This window comes from Homo sapiens, chromosome 12 (assembly GCF_000001405.40).
Source record: "Homo sapiens chromosome 12, GRCh38.p14 Primary Assembly".
Classification (NCBI taxonomy): Eukaryota; Metazoa; Chordata; class Mammalia; order Primates; family Hominidae; genus Homo; species Homo sapiens.
In genome coordinates this window covers 807,859-829,626 of record NC_000012.12, presented here as the reverse complement: position 1 = coordinate 829,626, position 21,768 = coordinate 807,859, and the positions used below count along the sequence as shown (strand labels likewise).

The 21,768-nt window shown below is 36.9% G+C and overlaps 1 protein-coding gene across 50 annotated transcripts in view, besides 2 other annotated features; it reads right to left on the bottom strand.

The window, feature by feature from the left end:
- WNK1 (WNK lysine deficient protein kinase 1) overlaps positions 1-21,768 on the bottom strand; it is a 158,874-nt gene that overhangs the window by 81,826 nt on the left and 55,280 nt on the right. For all 50 annotated transcript variants that reach the window (NM_213655.5, XM_011520997.4, XM_011521000.3 and 47 more), the window contains exons 2-3: positions 15,813-15,985; positions 2,365-2,585 (exon numbers count right to left, since the gene is read on the bottom strand). In NM_213655.5, coding sequence (NP_998820.3) covers positions 2,365-2,585; positions 15,813-15,985 — 394 coding nt within the window. The remainder of the gene's footprint in view (positions 1-2,364; positions 2,586-15,812; positions 15,986-21,768) is intronic.
- Positions 20,146-20,646: an enhancer, noted in NCBI's record as "OCT4-H3K27ac hESC enhancer chr12:918147-918647 (GRCh37/hg19 assembly coordinates)". NCBI's record gives its function as "activates a minimal SCP1, AML or CMV promoter by ChIP-STARR-seq in naive H9 embryonic stem cells {active_cell/tissue: H9 hESC(naive)}" and the evidence as "EXISTENCE:reporter gene assay evidence [ECO:0000049][PMID:30033119]".
- Positions 20,647-21,147: an enhancer, noted in NCBI's record as "OCT4-H3K27ac hESC enhancer chr12:917646-918146 (GRCh37/hg19 assembly coordinates)". NCBI's record gives its function as "activates a minimal SCP1, AML or CMV promoter by ChIP-STARR-seq in naive H9 embryonic stem cells {active_cell/tissue: H9 hESC(naive)}" and the evidence as "EXISTENCE:reporter gene assay evidence [ECO:0000049][PMID:30033119]".

The window sequence follows — 21,768 nt, the reverse complement described above, 5'->3', positions numbered from 1 at the left end:
ATATAATGGTACATCTGTAAGATAAGATGATGGGTTTAAAAAGATCAAAATACTTGTGTGCCCACTAATGTATGGTAGCTGTAGGGTTAATATTTACAGCTACACTCTTGGCATTAACACTCAATCTAATTAGTTTCACTTTTTAAGAAGGCCTTGCAGTGAAAAACCCGATATTCAATACATTTTTTAAAAAATGAAATAAAACGTAATTGTCTCCAAAGGCCACTCACCAGAGCCCTTTTCTTCACATACTTACCATCCCACCTGCAGTACACAAATAAGCCTACTACAGACACAAGAAATGTAGTGAGGGACATCCTACAGGCAAAAAGACAAACACACACACACAAATATAGAACCCAAATACAGACTGATTTATGAGCACAGTGTGTGATCCCACAAGACTAGGTTTTGTAATGCTTCCAGAAAATTAGGTCTGCATACCTCAAATTATTAGGCATTTCCAAGAAACAGGCATGCACACTATCATTTAATCAACAAAGAAAATAAAAACTCTATTGGGCCAGAGATTTCAGGATGCCAAAGACAATCAAAGAAATGTTTCCTGTGAAGAAGGCAAAAAAAGAAATTCAGCTTTAAATGACACTTTTCCCATTCTTCTTGTGAATGTATTATAAGAAAATGTGAAAGCATTCCTAACCCTAGTTACATAATATTCCAAGGAGAACACTGTTTTTGAAAGATGTACAAATAACTGGTGTTCTGTGTTTTTCCTAGTAATACTCAGTATCCAAGTTCACTTAAAAATTAATGGGTTTCTTTTGTTATTGTCACCTTTTGGAGGGAGTAAATAGAATGTTTATGAAGACCTCAAGTTTTTAAATTGTGATATCCTCTTCATAGAGTGAAAGCTTATCAAAATAGGCATTAAATTATTTTTCCAGCTTTGAGTTTCTAACATATAAAGTCTGAAAGGGACAGCCTTGTTCTTTAGATAAGTGATTCTCAACAGGGGGCAATTTTGTCTTCTAGGGGCCATATATAGCAATGTCTGGACACACTTTTGGTTATAACAACTAGAAGGCAGGTACAGAGGGAGCGTGCTACTGGTATCTAGTGGGTAGAGGCTGGGAATGCTGCCCCAGAGTCTTACAACGTACAAGACAGCCCCTTGCAACAAAGAATTGTCCAACCCCAAATCTCAGTAGTATTGAGGTTGAGAAACACTCTTTTAGATAGATCATAAATTCTGAAGAGTGAGACTAAGAAAAAAGTTGATAAAACCAACTTTTCAGAATGAATTGTCATATTTATTTTCACAAAATGTTAGGAGGTTATTCTTTTTATTTTTTTTATTTTGGAGATGGAGTCTTGCTCTGTTGCCCAGGCTAGAGTGCAGTGGCGCAATCTCAGCTCACTGCAACCTCCACCTCCCGGGTTCAAGTGATTCTCCTGCCTCAGCCTCCTGAGTAGCTGGGACTACAGGCACCCGCCACCACACCCGGCTAATTTTTTTTTTTTTGTATTTTTAATAGAGATGGGGTTTCTCCATCTTAGCCAGACTGGTCTCAAACTCCTGACCTCAAGTGACCCTCCCACCTCAGCCTCCCAAAGTGCTGGGATTACAGGCATGAGCCATTGTGCTTGGCCAATATTCTTGAATATACATATATATCCAACAGACATTTTATATGTTTAAAAATTTAATTTTTATCTTTTAATTTTAGAAAGTAAAACTAAATATAAATTCCATTTCTTTCATGAAGTGACATACTGTATGTATTAAATAAATAGTGTATAATGTTAAGTATCAACAGTGTGTAATGAAAAGATGGCTGGCTGGGCGGGGTGGCTCACGCCTGTAATCCCAACACTTTAGGAGGCCAAGGCAGGTGGATCACTTGAGGCCAGGAGTTCGAGACCAGCCTGGCCAACACGGTGAAACCCCATTTCTACTAAAAATACAAAAATTAGCCAGGCATGGTGATGCATGCCTGTAATCCCAGCTACTCGGGAGGCTGAGGCACAAGAATCGCTTGAACCCGGTGGGTGGAGGTTGCAGTGAGCTGAGATTGTGCCACTGCACTCTAGCCTGGGTGACAGAGAGAGACTCCATCTCAACAACAACAACAACAACAACAACAAAAAAGGCTATTACATTAGGTTTTATCAACAAAGTTCACTTTATTTCTTGTAACGTAATGTTACCAATAGTCTCTAAGATGATTCCAAGAAGCACAAATATAGAGAATCCTATATCTCATAAGTACAATGGATCACCTCCTGAGTTCAAGCTATGAATTTCTTAAGGTTTATATCACTTAAAACTCTGACAGAGCCAGGATTCTAAATAAAAGGAATGTGAGAAAGCCAGTCAGGCTCCAAGGTACACCTGAAACATACCTATCACACTCTTGGCAAAAGAAGCCCGCTTCAGGGTTGCCAGACCGAGGTCTCCAATCTTGACTGAGCCAGTAGGGCCGGTGATAAAGATGTTGTCACATTTAAGATCGCGGTGAATGATAGGTGGAGTTCGAGTATGAAGAAACTGAAGACCTTTAAGGATCTGACGGCACCAGCTTCTTAGAACTTTGATCTTCATCACTTTAAACCTTTTCAGATACCTAGAAAAAGCAAAGTATACCAAACAAGTTATCAATGATAGGAGTTTGTTGCTTTGAAGAATTCCATTAAATTCTAACATGACTGGAGATGGGAATATCAAATTTAGCATACTAAGATTCAGTAACACTAAAGGTTAATAATACTTTTAGTAAGCAGGGCTATGATAGTTTAAAATAAAAATTCTATTAAGAGACCCAGAAAAATAAGTCTTCCAAATGCTTTTTCATCTAAACAATGATAGTATTAGGTAACTAGTTTTTTCTTAAAGAAATGGGAGATCAAGTTGGCTATATCAGCTAAATATTTCAGAGCCAAAAATATTTAATTAGTGATTGGTAAGAGAATTATGGTAACAAAGCACCAAATATGAATTCCTTAACATTAGGTCACCATTTAAATGATTAAGAGGTAGAGTTCTGCTTCTGTTAAATAGTGGAGTAGTTCTATCAGACACAGATGTATTTATAAACTCTAGTCAAAAATATACAAAACAACTATTACTTGAAGGCTCTGGAGAGCAATCAAAATCAGTCATAGTTGGAAGGGAAAAAGGGAAAGCACTACTTGAGTTTCCTTCTTTATAATACATTTTTACCTAAGGAAAGGGCCTGTTCTGATTCTGCAGGTCTGCTAAACCCCAGACAGAAATGGCGACTGAGTTTGGAATGACCACAGCATCAAGAACAGTGCTGTCTAACAGACCTTTCTGCAAGGATGGTCTGTCCAATAAAGTTGCCACTAGCCAAATGTGACTACTCAAATGTAGATTAACTAAAATAAAAAATTTCATTTCTCAGTTGCACTAGCCACATTTCACGTGCTGAACAGCCACATGAGGCAAATGGCTACCATTCTGGATGGTGTACGTTATACAACATTTCCATAATGGCAGAAAGTTCTACTGGACAGCACAGATCTAGAAAGGAAAGGAGGAAATCTCAGAAAGCAGGCACCAAAGGAGAGCCCTAAATTCTGTGTATCCACTCTGCCCAAATCTCTAGTTGACCTCTGAAATACATGAATGTAGGAAAGATTCCAAGCAGCCCAAGTATGCTAAAAGAACTGAACAGAGACCTCTGGTGCTACCCACTGTAGAAAAGATACATCTGGGGATTGAGTTCCAATGCCTATTTTATCTGGAAATATTCAGGAAAAAAAGAGCACTAAAAATGTTAAATAGAAAAGACTACATTTTCCTTTCAGTATCTTTAAAATACACACATGATTGGTTAAAGGAAAATCTATAATACTGTGATATATATGATATGCTTACATATTCTATTAATTATTGTTTTTCAGTTCCTGAATTTGTTTAATTTTTGTAATTTCTATGTCTTTACTGATATTCTCTATTTGTTGAGGTAAAATTTTCTATACTGTTAACATTTGGCTGTCACTGTTTCCTGCATTTAGTATTCCAATTTTGTTGAATAGGTACTATAATTACTCCCATTTAATAATGACTTATCTATGTACTTGTATAAGATATGAAATTACTTATGTAATCTTGTACTTGTATAAGATATGAAAATTACAGCATACAGAACAAGCGGTAGAGGGGTTATATGAAAACCTTATTTGTGCAAAGGTCTTGTATTTTACATGAAATTGTACAGTATTAGTCCTAAATAAATTGTGAAAAGTAACAACGTAAATGTAATCTTCAGGGCAACTACTTAAAATGAAAAACATGCAGAGATCCAGATCTAACTAAAAATCAAATAGCAGAACTAAAATAAAATTTTACTTCATTTGGGTGGGCTAATTGAAGAAAACTAATAGCAAAAGTGGGTTTTATGGTTTAAAAAATATATCAAAACAGTCATGCTGGATGGAGGGTAAGGAAAAGGCTGCCTGGAAAGCGGCATAAGGGCATTTTCCGATATGATGGAAATGTTCTCTATCTTGAGAGTTTTGGTTACACGAATGAATGCCTTGTCAAAACTCATTCAATCGTACAATAATAATTTATTCTATCCTGATGCTGTTTGGAGGTAAAAGAAAAATAAAGTACACAAATACTGGAACTCTAACGAAATGCATACTGAAGGGTTTACGGGTGAAGCATATTGAATTATTTTATTTTACAATTTATTTTATTATGGAATGAATAAGATGGATGGAGGATGAATAAATGGACATATTAATAATATGGTAAGGCAAGTGATGCAAAAAGTTAGTAACAACAGAATCTTGGTGCTGAGTGTGTGCTCACTGTATGTTTCTTTTGCCTTTTCTATATAATTTTTAGAATTTTATAATAAAATATTGGAAATTTTATTTGTCGTTAGTCCTCCTTATAAACATCCTATTTTTAAACAAAAGGGTATCTTATCCTACTATGAACTTTATATTACTTCTCTCTTTTTTTTAACTATTCCCATAGCACCTCCCTAATTACAGAAAACCTGTTTATCCTTTAAGATCTACTTAAATTATATCTATCATTTTAGTAAAGACCTTCAAGATTATCCCAGCTAGCAGGAGGGAATCATATCTTTGTCTAAATTGCTATTCAAGTGAAAATTACACATATATTATGATTCACATTTCATTTTAAGAACCTATTCTTTGGGAATTGTGTACAAACATGATTATTATAGCAATGTTTATAAGGAAAGTATAAGGACAAGAAGGAATCCAATCTGCTCCATATTACAAATGGAACATTTCTAAACTCAGAGAAGCTAAGTTTGGTGAGAATGAAAAGTGGTTATAAAAATACGAATATTAATTAAAATCACCATAACCAACCACATCTTGAGAAAGAAAAGTGACAATTAGGCACCATCAGTGCAGATAGGACAAAAAAAAAAAAAAAAAAGATGTCTCTGCCAGGTGCAGTGGCTGACGCTGGCTCACTCCCAGCACTTTGGGAGGCTGAGGTGGATGGATCACCTGAGGTCAGGAGTTCAAGACCAGCCTGACCAATATGGCGAAACATGGTGTCTACTAAAAACATAAAAACTAGCTGGGCATGGTGGCATGTGCCTATAGCCCCAGCTACTCGGGAGGCTGAGGTTGGAGAATCGCTTGAACCCGGGAGGCAGAGGTTGCAGTTAGCCGAGATCACGCCACTGCACTCCGCCCTGGGCAACACAGAGCGAGACTCCATCTCCAAAAAAAAAAAAAAAAAAAAAGATGTCTCTGATATATCAAGCACTTCAGGTTCTTCCATTGTGACTGATTTTTGCCCAACCACATTGAAGACAAAGCCCAGTTGCTGAAAAGCTCCACTCTCATAAGCAGAGCTCTTAATCAGTTCTTCAGTACTAAGATATTTACTAAAAACAATCAACTCATGGTTAAATAGGGATAATTATAGTACCTATGCCAAAACTTTGCAGACTAAATGCTGAGAACAATGGCTGCTAAATATTAAGAGTACAAAGAATATTCTATTGAAGTAGAGAATATCAACAGAGACAGAAACTTTAAAAAGGAACCAAGTAGAAATTGAGGTGCTGAAAAATACTGTGAAGATTCACTAACAGATTTCAACAGCATATGCGAACACACAGAAGAAAAAGGCAATAAACTTGAAAATAGGAAGTGAAACTGTACAGTCTGAGGAGCAGAAATGAGCAGAGTCTAAGAGATCTGTGGGACACCATCAAGTTGAGCAAAATATACACAATGGGAGTCCTAGATAAAGAAGACAGAAAAGAGCAGAAAGAATATTTAAGAAAATAATGGCCACAAATTTCCCAAACTTAGTAAAAGACATGAATCTACACATCCAAAAAGTTCAACAAACTCTAAGGATAAATGCAAATAGATCCACAATGAGAAACACTATATTCAAACTGTTAAAAGGCAAAGACAAAGAGAGAATCTTGAAAGTAGCAAGGGAGAAGTGACTTATGACCATGGGATCCTCAATAAGATTATGAGCTGATTTTTCAGCAAAAACCATAGAGGGCAGAAAGCAGTGGGATGACATATTTAAAGTGCTAAAAGAAACAAAAGCAAAACCCCAAAAAAAACCTGAAGACTGCCAACCACGAATTATATATCAGCAAAATTATACTGCAGAAATGAAAGAGAAATTAAGATATTCCCAGGTAAATAAAAGCTGGAAGAGTTTGACAGTAGTACACTTTCCCTAAAAGAAATGCTAAAGAGAATCCTTAGAGGAAATAAAAGAACACTAGACAATAACTTGAAGCCATAAAACCAAATCAAATCTCTGGTAAAGTCCATCACACATCTAAATATTAAAACCAGTATTAATGTATTTTTGGTTTATAATTCCTTTTATTTCCTACATGATTTAAAAGACAAATGCATGTAAAATAATTATTATAAAACTATGCTAATGGGTACACAATGTATAAACATAAAATTTGAGACAATGAAAACATAAAATGGGAAGGAGGAGTGAGGCTGTATAGGATCAGAGATTTGTATGCTGTATTAAAGCTAAGTTGGTATCAATTCAGGGTAGACTGTTGGAGGTTTATGATGTTAATTGTGATCCTCAAGGTAACCACTGAAAAAATATCTAAATATATACACAAAAGGAAATGAGAAAGGAATGAAAATGGTATACTACAAAAGAAAAATAAATACATTTAAAAAGGTAGTAATGAAGGAGATAAGGAGCAAAAAACAGTACAAGACTGTCTCTAGGAATGTGATATATTACGGCTGCGGGCGGTGGCTTACGCCTGTAATCCCAGCACTTTGGGAGGCTGAGGTGGGCAGGACCACAAGGTCAGGAGTTTGAGACCAGCCTGACCAACGTGGTGAAACCCTGTCTCTACTAAAAATACAAAAATTAGCTGGGCGTGGTGGTGAGTACCTATAATCCCAGCTACTCAGGAGGCTGAGGCAGGAGAATCGCTTGAACCCGGGAGGCGGGGGTTGCAGTGAGCTGAGACTGTGCCACTGCACTCCAGTCTGGGCAACAGAGCGAGGCTCCGTCTCAAAAAAAAAAAAAAAAAAAAAAAAGGTATAAGACATACAGAAAACAAACAGCAAAATAGCAAATCATTCATTTTGACTAATTAAATGTAAATAAACTCTCCTACCAAAAACAGAGATGGGCAGAATGGATTTTTTAAAAAGAAAGAAAAAAAGCCAACTATATACTGTCTACAAGAGACTCATTATAGATCCAAGGACAGAAATAGGTTGAAATTCAAAGGATGAAAGAAAAATGATATTCTATGCTAATAGTAAATAAAAGAGGGTGAGGTAGCAAAACTAATATCAGGCAAAATAAGTAAAAATACTGATGCAAGAGATAAAGAAGAGCATGATGTATTGATAAAAGGGCCAATCCATAAAAAATAACAATTATATACATCAAACAATAAAGCCACCAAATAATGAAGCAAACATTCACAGAATTAAAGGGAGGAAATTAGTAGACACTACAGTAATAGTTGGAGACTTCAGTATTCCACTTTCAATAACGGATAAAACATCTAGACAAAAGATGAGTAAGAAAACAGAAGACTTGAACAATATTATAAACCACCAAAAGGTAACAGACATATTTAGAACACACTGCCCAACAACAAGTGAATATATATTCTCAACTGTACATGGAACATTCCTTCAAGAAATCTCCAAAGAAAAGTCTAGGACTGGATGGCTTCATTGATGAGTTCTACCAAACATTTACAGGAGAATTAACACAAATCCTACTCTTCCAAAAAGCAAAAGTGGAGGAAACACTTTCTAAATCATTCTGTGAGGCCAGTATTGCCCTGATACTGAAGATACCAAAAGAAAACTATAGACTAACACCGTTATTAATGTAGATGTAAAAACTCTCAACAAAATATTGGCAAGCCAAACCCAACTGCATAGTAAAAGGATTATACACTATTTATCTATGAAATGCAAGGGTGATTCAACATAAGAAAATTAATCAGTATAATATATCACACTAATAGAACGAAGTGGTTTCATGATTATCTAACTTGATGCAGAAGAGCATTTGACAAAATCTAACACCTTTCCAAAAAAAAAAAAAAAAAAAAAAAAACTCAAGAAACTAGGATAGGAATAGCAGAGAACTTCCTCAACATGATAAAGAACATTTATGAAAAACTCACAGCTAACATATACTCAATGGTGAAAGACCAAAAGCTTTCTCCTTAAAATCAGTAATATGACAAGGATAATCAATGCTAATCATAATTCAAGCTCTAGCCAAAACAGTTAGACAAGAAAAAGAAATAAAGGCATTCAAATCTGAAAGAACTATCTATTCACATATGACTTGATCCAATATATAAAAATCCCAAAGAATGGCTAGGTGTGGTGGCACACACCTGTAATCTCAGCACTTTGGGAGCCAGAGGCAAGGGAGATCACTTGAGGCCAGGAATTTGTGACTACCATAAGCAATATATTGAGACCCTATCTTTATGAAAAATTTAAAAATTAGCCAGGCATGGTGGTACACACCTGGAGTCCCAGCTACTCAGGAGGCTGAGGTGGGAGGATCCTTTAAGCCTAGAGTTCAAGTCTGTAGTGAGCTATGACTGCACCACTGCACTCCAGCCTCGGTGACAGAGTGAAACCCCATCTGTTTAAAAAAAAAAAAAAAAAAAAAAAACCCCAAAGAATGAACACACACACAGATGAGCTAATACAAGAATTCAGTAAAGTTACAAAAGTACAAGACTGACACACAAAAATCAGTTGTATTTATATATACCAGCAATTAACAATCTGAAAAGGAAATTAAGAAAACAATTTCATTTGCAATAGCATATAAAGGATCTAGGAATAAATTTAACCAAGGATGTGAAAGACTTGTATAATGAAACTACAAAACATTGCTGAAAGAAATTAAAAAAGACATAAATAAATGGACAGACACCCTGTGTTCACGGATTAGAAGACAATATAGTTAAAGATGGTGATACTATACAAAATGATCTACAGATTCAACACAATTTCTGTCAAAATTCCAACAGCCTTTTCTTGTAGAAATGGAAATCTAATCCTCAAATTCACATGGAATTTCAAGAAGACCCCAACTGTCAAAAACAATAGTGAAAAAGAAGAACAAAATTGGAGAAGTCACTTCTAATTTTCAAAATTTACAAAAATTACTATAGTAATCAGAGCAATGCGGTACTGGCATAAGAACAGACATGTAGGCCAATGAAATAGAATTGAGAGTCCAGAAATAAACCTATACATATGATTAAATAATTTTTGAGAAGAGTACCAAGACCATTCAATAGGTAAAAGTCTCTTCAACAAATGATGCTGGGATAACTGGACATCAACATGTAAAAGAATGAAATCAGACCCTACCTCACGGCATACACAAAAGTTAACTTAAAAATGGAACAATAACCTAAATAGAAAAGTTAAATTGATAGAACTCTTAGAAGAAAACTTAGGGATACATCTGTATGCCCTTGGTTATTTATGACAATGGACTCTTACATGACACCAAAAGCCCAACCATCAAAAGACAAAGCAGATACATTGGATTTTATCAAAATTTAAAACTTGGCACAGGCTTGAGCATCCAAATCAGAAAATCCAAGATCCAAAATGCTCCAATAGAAAATCTGAACTTGAGCACCAACATGACACACAACAAAAATGCTCATTTGAACATTTTGGAGTTCAGATTTGGGAGGCTTAACTGGTAAGTATAATTCAAAGTTCCAATATCTGAAAAAATTCAAAGCCCTTCTGGTCCCAAGCATTTCGGATAAGAGATACTATACTCAATCTGTACATCATAGAACATTATCAAGGAGCAAAAAAGGCAACCTATAGGAGAAAATATCTGCATATCATGGATCTGGACAAGGGTCTAATTTCTAAAATATATAAAGAACTCTAATAAATCAACAAAAAAACAAGCAATCCAATAAAAAATGAGCAAAGAACTTGAATAAACATTTCTCCAAAGATACACAAATAGCCAATAAGCATATGAAAAGATGTTCCACATTATTAATCATTAGGGAAATGCAAATGTAATCCATAATGAGGTATCATGTCACTCCCGGTAGGATGCCTCCTCAAAAAGTTAAACAAAGATTTCCACATGACTCAGCAATTCCATTCCTAGTATACAGCCAAAAGAAATGAAAACAGGTACTCAAAAAAATACTTCTGCACAAATATTCATAGCAGCAGTACTCATAATAGCCAAAAGGTGGATACAGCCCAAATGTTCATCAATGGATAAATAAACAAACTGTGATATTTCCATGCAATGGAATGTTATTCAGTCATAAAAGGGGATGAAGTACTGATGCGTGCAATCACGATGATCCTCGAAAACACCATGCTAAGTGAAAGACGCCAAACACAAGGATCCATAACATACTTTGAGTCTATTTATAGGACATATCCTGATTAGATAAATCCATAGAGATGGTAAAAAGTTGGTAGTTGTCAGGAGCTGAGGGTTGGGAGAAATGGGAAATTGTTCCACGGGCATAGAGTTTGTGACATGAAAAGCATTCTAGAAATTGCACAGAAATGTGTTTGTATTAACACTACTGAACTATACACTTAAAAATGGTTAAGATGGTAAATTTTGTTATGTTTTTTACAATAAAAAAATCCCATCCACGAATGGCTGGTCCCAGAGATCAGGCAGTCCAACCACTTGTTTTACATACACATGGGGAACTGAAGCCCAAATAAGGTTAGCTATTTGCCCAAAATCACAGTTGGTCAGAGGCAGCGGTGGGAGCAGTCACAACTTCTACTGCAAGTCTAATGCTCTTTCTACTTAATAAACCCTCCTGTTGGCATAAGCCTCTGAAGCTCAGAAACTGAAAATTTCTTTTTAATTGTAAAAAGAAAAAGAACTTAGATAATGTGCAATTAAAGAAAAAATACGCTGCCTGGCTGGAGGAAGGGAAATGCAGAGTAACTGCTTAATGGGCACAGAGTGTTCTGAGGTGATTAAAATGTTGAGTAACTTGATAGATGTGGTACTTACAAAACATTGTGAATGTACTAAGTGCCACTGAATTGTACTTTCTAAAATGTTAATTGTATGATATTTGAATTTCATGTCTATTTAAAAAAATACATCTAAATTTATCTCAACTTTTAATCCAAATTTTTTTTCTTTTTCTTTTTTTGAGATGGAGTCTCACTCTGTCACCCAGGCTAGAGTGCAGTGGCACAATCTCGGCTCACTGCAACCTCCACTTCCGGGGTCAAGCGATTCTCTTGCCTCAGCCTCCCGGGTAGCTGGGATTACAGGCGCCCGCCATCATGCCCAGCTAATTTTTCGTATTTTTAGTAGAGATGGGGTTTCACCATGTTGGACAGGCTGGTTTCGAACTGACCTCAGGTGATCCTGACCTCAGGTGATCCATCCGCCTCAGCCTCTCAAAGTGCTGGGATTACAGGTGTGAACTACCACGCCTGGCCTTAATCCAAATTTTCTGACTCATACATTCCCATCTTATTTTTCAGCTATGGGTGTTTTATCTGTTTCAATGTAAATATACATAGAGAACAAAGGTAGAAACTCGAAAGGTCCAAAAAGCACGCATTTTGGAATTAATTCCCATTCCTTCCCAATCTGCCTCTCCAAATGCTGCCAATGGTCCTAGTTATCCATTCTTCCAGAAATGAATATGAATGTTTTCAATCTACTTGCTTAGGAATCTGTATACATTCTCAATCAGAATTCTTAAATTCTGAAATTTTTCTTTTTCTCATTCTCTCTACTTTTTCATTTTTATTTTTGAGATGGAGTCTCGCTCTGTCACCCAGGCTGGAGTGCAGAGGCACGATCTCGGCTCATTGCAACCTCCACCTCCTGGGCTCAAGTGATTCTCTGCCTCAGCCTCCAGAGTAGCTAGGACTACAGGGAAACCCCTTTTAGATAATTAAATCTATCTGGGTCTTCTCACTACTATGTCATCCTCTTTAAATATTTTCTGTCTTTTTTGTGTGTTCTGTTGCTCATTTCTTCGTAGTTAATATTCCTGTCAATTCAATTCAGTCTGCTGTTTAACCGTTAGACCATTTATGTTTGAATTTTAATGTTCTTATTTCTAGAAGTTCTTCAGAAGCTTTTAAATTATGCCTGTCTTTTTTTTCTTTGGTGTCTTTTTCCTTCAATTCCTTCTTTTCTCTTTATACACTTCATATACACTTACAAATATCTTTACTGACATCATTATGTAAATAATTGTTTGTAATCACTTTCAGACTTGTCCATGATATCCTTAATTGTTGCAGTGCTATTTTCTGGTTGTGTCTATTCACCTTCATTGGTGTGATTTGTAATTTAATTGTGAGGTCATCTTCTTTGGAAACAGTTTTGCCTCTGGACACTGACCAAGGAACTGTGAAAATGTCCCCGGGAGTTTTCTTTCCGTTCCTGATCAATTATCATGTATGTTCTTCGGTTTGGGATTCCTGTACCAAGTAGATGGTACAAATTTATGTTATAGCGCCATCTACATATGAGATGGAAGAATACCAAACAGGCTGGGCACCGTGGCTCATGCTTGTAATCCCAGCAGTTTGGGAGGTCAAATCGGGATGAGGCCAAATCAGGATGAGCTCAGGAGTTTGAGAGCAGCCTGGGCAACAAAATAGACACTGTCTCTACTAAAAAAAAAAAAATTGTTTTTTTATTAGACAGGTATGGTGGTGAGCAACTATAGTCCCAGGTAGTGGGGAGGCTGAGGTGGAAGGATTCCCTGAGCCCAGGAGTTTGAGGCTGCAGTGAGCTATGATTGTGCTGCTGCACTCTGTCCTGGGCAACCGAGTGAGACCCTGTCTCCAAAAAAAGAAAAAGAAAAGATTAGTTTACAGAATAATTAAGAACACTGGTAGCATTTGATGTGAATTTCTATTTTTCATAGGTCTCCCCTCTTATCCACAGTCTTCTGCACACAGGTAAAATTCCTTGCAGCTTTCACTGGCTAGAGCACTGAGGTCTCTCTTTTCACGGATAGTTCAGTTTTTTGACACAGGCTAAGTTCTAGCTCCCCTCTCTACCTAGTTCTAAGGCTTTCTGTCCTTGCATGGACATTAAAACTAGCATCAACTCCTCAACCAATATGTGGTCTAAAATCCCAGAGTATAAGTTCCTGTTTTGGCTTTGAGTTATCTCTGCTTATTATCTGGAGGTTAACCTTTCTTTCCTTAAAGCTTAGACACGTATTGGAAAAAACTTTTATTATATTCCACATTTCAGTTTGTTGGTGTGGGACAGCCATTCCACAGGGGCTTATTACCCCACTATGTTACCCAAAGCTCCTCAATATAGTTTTTAAAACAAGTAAACCATTGTATTTTAGAGTAATCTTAGGCATGCCAGACAAACTGTTGACAACCAAGTAAGTATCCAAACCAGTGGAAAGAATCTCAAGATGTACACATAATTATTACCACATAATTCTCCTTAATTCATTCAAACACTTATTATTCAGTATTAGACACTTCCAGTAGAATGTGATATCTAGCACTTGTTCATAGTACTAGGTATATAGTGCTAGTTAGCACATTCTAATGGAAGAAAAGAGAGTATCAAGAAGCCTGACTAACTAGGATAAAGGTATTGCCATAAACAAGAGTGGAAGTTGGATAAAGAAATTAGAATTTGCAGGACAGAAATGATCTGTTCATGTTTCAACATGCTAACCGTAAGCATTTCAGAAAACATGCAAGTGACTATATCCAGGTGCTGTAACACTGTATTCCAATGATCTGGAATTAATCAGCTCAGCAGTATTAACTTTAACAATTAATAAAGAATATATGCCACAGTGATAATTTAAAAATATCCAATTTCACCAAATAAAAAATTTATACAAGGTAACTTACTACAGGTTCTTCTCTGAGTAAAAACAGATCCTCTAAGATACCAGGGGTCCCCAACCACTGAGCCACAGATCAATATCAGTCCATGGCCTTTTAGGAACCTGGCCACACAGCAGGAGGTGAGTGGCAGGCGAGCAAGCAAAGCTTCATCTGTATTTACAGCCGCTCCCTCACTGCTCGCATTACCACCTGAGCTCTGGCTCCTGTCAGCAGCATTAGATTTCTCACAGGGCCATGAACCCTACTGTGAACTGTGCATGCAAGGGATCTAGGTTGAGCGTTCGTTATGAGAATCTAATGCCTGATGATCTGCCCTGTCTCCCATCACCCCCAGATGGGACAGTTGAGTTGCAGGAAAACAAGCTCAGGGCTCCCACTGATTCTACATTATGGTGAGTTGTATAACTATTTCATTATATATTTTAATGTAATAATAATAGAAATAGAGTGCACAATAAATGTAATGTGCTTGAATCATTCCAAACTTCCCCAGCCCCACCCCCGCACCAGTTCATGGAAAAACTGTCTTCCATGAAACCAATCCCTGATGCCAAAAAGGTTGGGGACTGCTGCTCTAAGAAACCTGGGATTACAAAGGCATACTCCAACACTTACCAAAAGCTCTTTACAATAAGTAACGGGAAATTTCTGCATTAAACCTATTTCTGTGAAAGGAATGATAGATCTAGCTATTTGGGGATTAATTTCTGATGTTATGGGAAATGGAACTAAAAGTATTTTTTAAGTGATAACTGTCACAATATAATCTGCATCTGATATAAAAGTTGCAGGGATATAGCAAAGCACAATACAAATGAAAAAAATAGGTAGTTTCTCAATAAACCTTAATCTCATTTTAACCACTAGAGGGCTACCTTGACATTTGATTTCTGATTCCTTAGCCACTCTTTTTTTTTTTTTTTGGAGACAGAGTCTCACCTAGGCTGGAATGAAGTGAGGTGATCTCAGCTCACTGCAACCTCCGCCTCCTAGGTTCAAGCGATTCTCCTGCCTCAGCCTCCCAAGTAGCTGGGGTTACAGGTGCACGCCACCATGCCCGGCTAATTTTTGTACTTTTAGTAGAGACGGGGTTTCACCACGTTGGCCAGGCTGGTCTCGAACTCCTGACCTCAGGTGATCCAACCTCAGGTGATCCGCCTGCCCCGGCCTCCCAAAGTGCTGGGATTACAGGCATGAGCCACCACACTCGGCCATAACTTCTCATTTCAATACTTACCAAGAAATAATTATCAAATCACTTTATATACTAGAGGACTTTGTGGGCAAGGAAATATGCTAATACAGTAACAGTTGGAAGGACTGTTCCCTTCTTAGGCTGAACAACCAAAGTGAAACTGGTAGACCTGAAATTTAAAAAATCAAATTCTCTCATACTTCTTGGTCAGCTTTTGTAATACTGATGAACTTACGTTTTAAGTGTTCCAGACGTCATAAGTTCAGTCACCAAAACAATGCACTTCTTTCCTTTTACTGTGGATTCCCAGGAATCATAAAATCTAACAATATTGGGATGCTGAAGACCTTTTAACATTTCAGCTTCTTCTTTAAATCTCTGCCTCTCAGACTTTGTTAATTTTCGATCCTAAAATCAAAAACCAAAACAGAATGTGGTTTAAAATGATAAAACACCAAATCAGACAGTTAATCTTAGACACTTAAACATTACTAAATCATGATCGATGGTGTTTAAAAAATGCAAATGCTGAAGTTATAAATGATAGATTTGGATTATATACATTCATGCTTGAGATCATTTTAGTATCTTTACTGTTAATGTGTAACTCAGATATAGTCTCATTTTTGTAAGGTGCAGTTAACTTTCCATATCCAACATAAGTCATCAATTGCTAGACATGCAATTTAATGTCAGGAAATGAACATAGGCTTTGGAGGCAAAGACCTAAATATAAATTCCAGTTCTATCTTTGCCTTGATTAAAATCAATCTATCTTTAACCAAAACATTGTTTTTATTTTTGTTTGTTTGTTTAAAAGACAGGAAGTCACTCTGTGACCAAGGCTGGAATGCAGCGGTGCTATCATAGCTCACTGCAGCCTCAAATCCTGGGCTCAAGGGATCCTCCCACCTCAGCCTCCAGAGTAGCTAGGACTACAGGCATGTGCCACCTTGCCCGGCTAATTTTTTAATTTTTTGTAGAGATGAGGTCTTGCTATGATGCACTGGCTGGTCTTGAACTTCTGGTGATCCTCCTACTTTGGCATCCCAAAGCCTGGGATTACAGGTGTGAGCCACTGCATGAAGCCTAATTTTTTTTTTCTTTTAAGCAATAACTTAAATACTCAAGTATTTGTCTTCAAGTCAGGAAAATTCTCAGTATCTCTCTAAACACTGTCTCCTCTCATTCTCTTTTTTTCCCCTTCCAACTCTTCTTTTCTTTTTAAACAATTTTTAAATGTGTGTGAGTATGTGTATAACTTTAGTTTATCCTTAATATCCTTTAATTTCTCTCTCATTTTCCATTTCCTTCTGTATGCTACTTTCTGGGCAATGTTTTCTGATCTACCTTCCTGTTCATTAATTTTTCTCTTCAGTTATTACATCAATTATTAATTGAACTTTAAGGTTCTCACTCTGTCGCCAAAAGTACCCAATAAGGAATGTAATAAAAGGAAACCAAGTTACTACTCCTGTTTCTACTCTGCCCAATAGCATTAAAACCAATGGATACTATGTACATGCCTCTTACATAACACTTAATCACAGGCAACATTATATTGACTCTTATCCCCCATAGAATAAGCCCTCAGAGGCTTTTTGTCATGAAAAGGCAGTGACAAGATACCTTTTTGTGTTCTATCTTTAGCACCTGACAACCTAGCATAGTGACTTGTTCAACAGCCATTTGTTGAATGAATTCCATAAATGTCTTTTCCCCTCAATACCCCTTTAAAAGTGTGTGTGTGTGTCCTTAATAAGCAGTTAGCATTTCCCCAAGGATAAAAAATTCCTGTGACTTAAAAGAAAAATGAGAATTGAAATTGGGCCTCTGAGTCTCAGTTAAGTCCAACACAACCCATACAGAATGATCAACTTGCAAAGGTCCCAGCTTTTGATTTTTAAAAATGGTTTGTAAAAGCTTATTGTAAAAAAGCTGCCAACTACTTATTTATAGCAAAGCATAGAGGGAAAAAAACGGGGGACTTCTTTGCCATCAAAAATCCGTATTTAATTTTCCTTGAGAATACACTGAATGACAATCTAAAAATTCCATAGAAATATTTAGAATATTTTATCTCTAATTTGCCCAGAAGACATCTATACTATAAATACAGGCTACTTTATATAGCTAAGTGTTTTTATCCTTTCTGAAAAGTATTATTTATTTTAAGGGATCTGAGAACCCCTGCTTAATGTTTGAAGTTAGAAATACAGATGCATGACAACAGATTATCATCAACAAAGCAGGAAATGGGGGAAACCTAAACAAATAATTTGGGGCTTCTTTCAATAGTTTGTCTACTTGTTCCATCTATAACTGAATATTGTTTTTTTTTTAATCTAGGAACATTTCATAAAATATCTTAGAGAAGTACATAATTTTAGCACCCAAAAGACTTTAAGACAATAATAAAGTAGATCAAAACTAACATAAGACACAGATCAGAAGGAACACCTGGGGTTTTAAAAATAATTTTTGCCAAGTATTTGCCATTTACTAGTTGGCTGCTTCACTTCATTTAATCCTCAGAAAAATGTTGTGAGACGAACTGACTCACAAAATTTTATTATCTCCCTCAAATTCACATGAAAAACAGAACTAAGAGACAAATGAAGATTTGGTTCAAAGCTCATGTTTCAATGACAACAAACAAACCCTAAATATTTTGCAAAACTTCTAAAATAATTTTCTTCTCAGAAGATCCACGTTTGTTATTATATAATAATTATTGAAAAGAAATAGGAACTTTATACTAAATTACAGCTGAAGGTAAAATAAGAGGAACCATATATTGTTTAAATATTACCAACTGTCAATCAAATTATCATGAATACAATGATAAAATTTTAAAAGACCGTATCAAAAAGTAGCATTAAAACATCAAGTGAGACTTAGAATGGATTAGCCACTGTTGCTTTTTAGAACCTTCTCTTCACCATTATGGAGCTGGATATTCCTGGGGCCTTAATATACTATACTATCCCAATTGCAGCATTCATTACCTTCAATATAAACTAAAGCTGATACAGCTAACCCATTCTATTCATTTCGTTCATTTCTTTCCATCTACATTAAGTTGTTTTGACAGGATAAATGAGCAAAACCAAGGATCCGTGTCACATGACCTCTTCATAACATGCACAGTTCCAGGCTGCTGGGGGTGGGGTGGGGGTCAGGCAACAACTAAAACAATTGCTCATCTCAGTACTACCCAAATTACAGTGCTCAGTAGATTATCCACTGATGTAATTTCTTCTGGAGTGAGAAGCACAATGCTAATGTTTAGTACAATGACCTCATAACCATTTGCACATCTTCCGTCCCTTGCTTTTAAGAAGCTGTTTCATTTTAAACATCCTCTGACAGACATCTCTCTTTACCCTCATATTTTAGTATTTTTAAAGTAGCAATCCCATCCTTTGCTATTGTTCACTTTATTCGCCCAGAAGCAAACCTTCCAAACCAATTGTGCTAATGGAGCAGTGAGACTAGTTTTCATTCATTAAACTTGAAATTTTTACTTTACAGCTAACAACTGTATCCCCAAAATTATCTGGTCCTCAAGTCTTATTAACATTTAAATTTCTCTAGTATTATATATGTGCAATATTCAAAATTTTACTGCTAAATTAAGACCACACATGATAACTCTACATATCAAAATATGGGTGGAGAAAAGTGTCTGGAATTCTTGATTAAAATATTTTAGGTCAATATTGGAATACTCCCTCCTTATCATTTTCTGCACCACACTGACTTAGCAAGACATGGGCATCTATTTCACCTTTTTTTTTTTTGAGACGGAGTCTTGCTCTGTCGCACAGGCTGGAGTGCAGTGACACAATCTCTGCTCACTGCAACCTCCACCTCCCGGGTTCAGGCAATTCTGCCTCAGCCTCCTGAATAGCTGGGATTACAGGCGTGTGCCACCACACCTGGCTAATTTTTGTATTTTTAGTAGAGACAGGGTTTCGCCATGTTGGTCAGGCTGGTCTGGGACTCCTGACCTTGTGATCTGCCCATCTCAGCCACCCAAAGTGCTGGGATTACAGACGTGAGCCACCGTGCCCGGCCTCTATTTTATCTTTTAAAGTGATACTAATTGTTGTTGGGTATTAGGATAAAGAAATAAAAACTTGTCTTCAGGCAGAGGGTACAGCAGTTTGTAACATTGCTTTCCAGGGCAGCATGGGTTTCAGTTACAGTTTACAGAGAAAACAATTTTTTAAAGAATTATTCTATGTGTTAAAAGAAATTAAGCATATAAATAATTATTTAAGTCTGGCAACTCTCTCATAGGCCTATATGGTATAACAGCAATTCAAAGATGACAGAAGTATTAACTGTAGGTAACTAACTCTTCTTAAAAACTTCAGAATTAGAGATTGAAGGCCTGGGAAAGGTTGGAAAAACTACAACTAGAAACAAAATAATAATTCTCATGCAAAAATTCTTAACTGTTAAAGATAGCAAAAAGACTAACATGGCTTTCAAGGTGTTTTGAAGTATAATATAAAAATTACACCTGCATTTTATGTGGCCAAATCTACAGATTAAATTCCTACTGCAGATTTCTTTATGACCTTCCAGTCTGGTACTCTTACGAGATGAAATTTGGGGTCTATCGCATAAAGAAGAGAGTCTATGTGAGCCCAACTTTCCTCAATGGGTGAAAAGATATCATAATTATGGGGGGGAGGGGCAGGTAAACATGGCATCACATCCCCTGCTTCTCCATGGAGACTTTTACCTATCATTCTGAAATAGCACCAGTTTCAGAAAGACCAAAAAAAAAAAAAATTTTTTTTTTTTTTTTTTCCTCAAAAGAATAGGAAAAAAAAATCTGGTTACCTGGTTGTTCTAACTCCTCTATCAGCCCCTTCTTCCCAATATGGCTCACCTTTATACACTTTATTTATTTACAAAAAGTTTCTGTTTCAAAGAAGCAAGAAGAAAAGTCTACTTATAAGAGAGATAGGAGGCCAGGTGCGGTGGCTCACGCCTGTAATCCCAGCACTTTGGGAGGCCAAGGTGGGCAGATCACCTGAGGTCAGGAGTTCAAGACCAGACTGGCCAAGATGGTGAAACCCCATTTCTACTAAAAATACAAAAATTAGCCGGGCGTGGTGGCAGGCGCCTGTAATCCGAGGTACTTGGGAGGCTGAGGCCAGAGAATCGCTTGAACCTGGGAAGCGGAGATTGCAGTGAGTCGAGATCTCGCCATTGCATTCCAGCCTAGGCAACAAGAGTGGAACTCCTTCTCAAAAAAAAAAAAAAAAAAAGAGAGAGATACAGTTTTCTCAAGCCAGATGTATACGAATGCATAGGTTCTATTCATTAGGCACCCTTCACTTAATCCCCAAATCTGGGCCAAGAGTATGTAAAAGTTGGAGTCTAAGAGGTTCTCTCCACCTCTCTTTGGAGGGCACAAAAGCCACATGGGATTCCAAAATACCTGGGACTTGGCATATACAGGAAGCTTTAGGTTAATGCTAAAAGTAGCAGATACATATAATAGCTGAACCACAAAAAGAAAAAAAAAACACATTTAGTTCTATTAGAAAATGGCTTAGAACATGTGGACAAAGGCAACAAATAAAAATACATTAATAAATAAAACAGAAAATGGCAAACTAGGGCTGGGCATGGCGGCTCACACTTTGGGAGGCTAGGGCAGAAGAACTGCTTGAGGCCAGGAGCTTGAGACCAGCCTACAACATAGCAAAACCCCGTCTCCAAAAGAAAAAAGAAAAAAAAAGGCAAACTACTTTCACTAAGTGACTTACAGTATCTATTGCATAGCAAAACTTAGAACCATACCTAGTCATTCACATAAATTTTTAAAGTTTTTTATTAAAGTAGATTAAATTGATTTGAATGTGAAAGCAGCTAACAGGGTTAAACTCAAACTACTATAGGTGAGGTCTTGCAGGAGGTCTTCCTGAAGAAAGCAAGAAGGCTGAGAAGGGGAGAAAAAGGAAAGATAAATGTGAATGAGAATAATAATAGAAGAATTATTGCTCCCGGCCGGGCGCGGTGGCTCACGCCTGGAATCCCAGCACTTTGGGAGGCCGAGGCGGGCGGATCACGAGGTCAGGAGATCGAGACCATCCTGGCTAACACGGTGAAACCCCGTCTCTACTAAAAATACAAAAAATTAGCCAGGCGTAGTGGCGCGCGCCTGT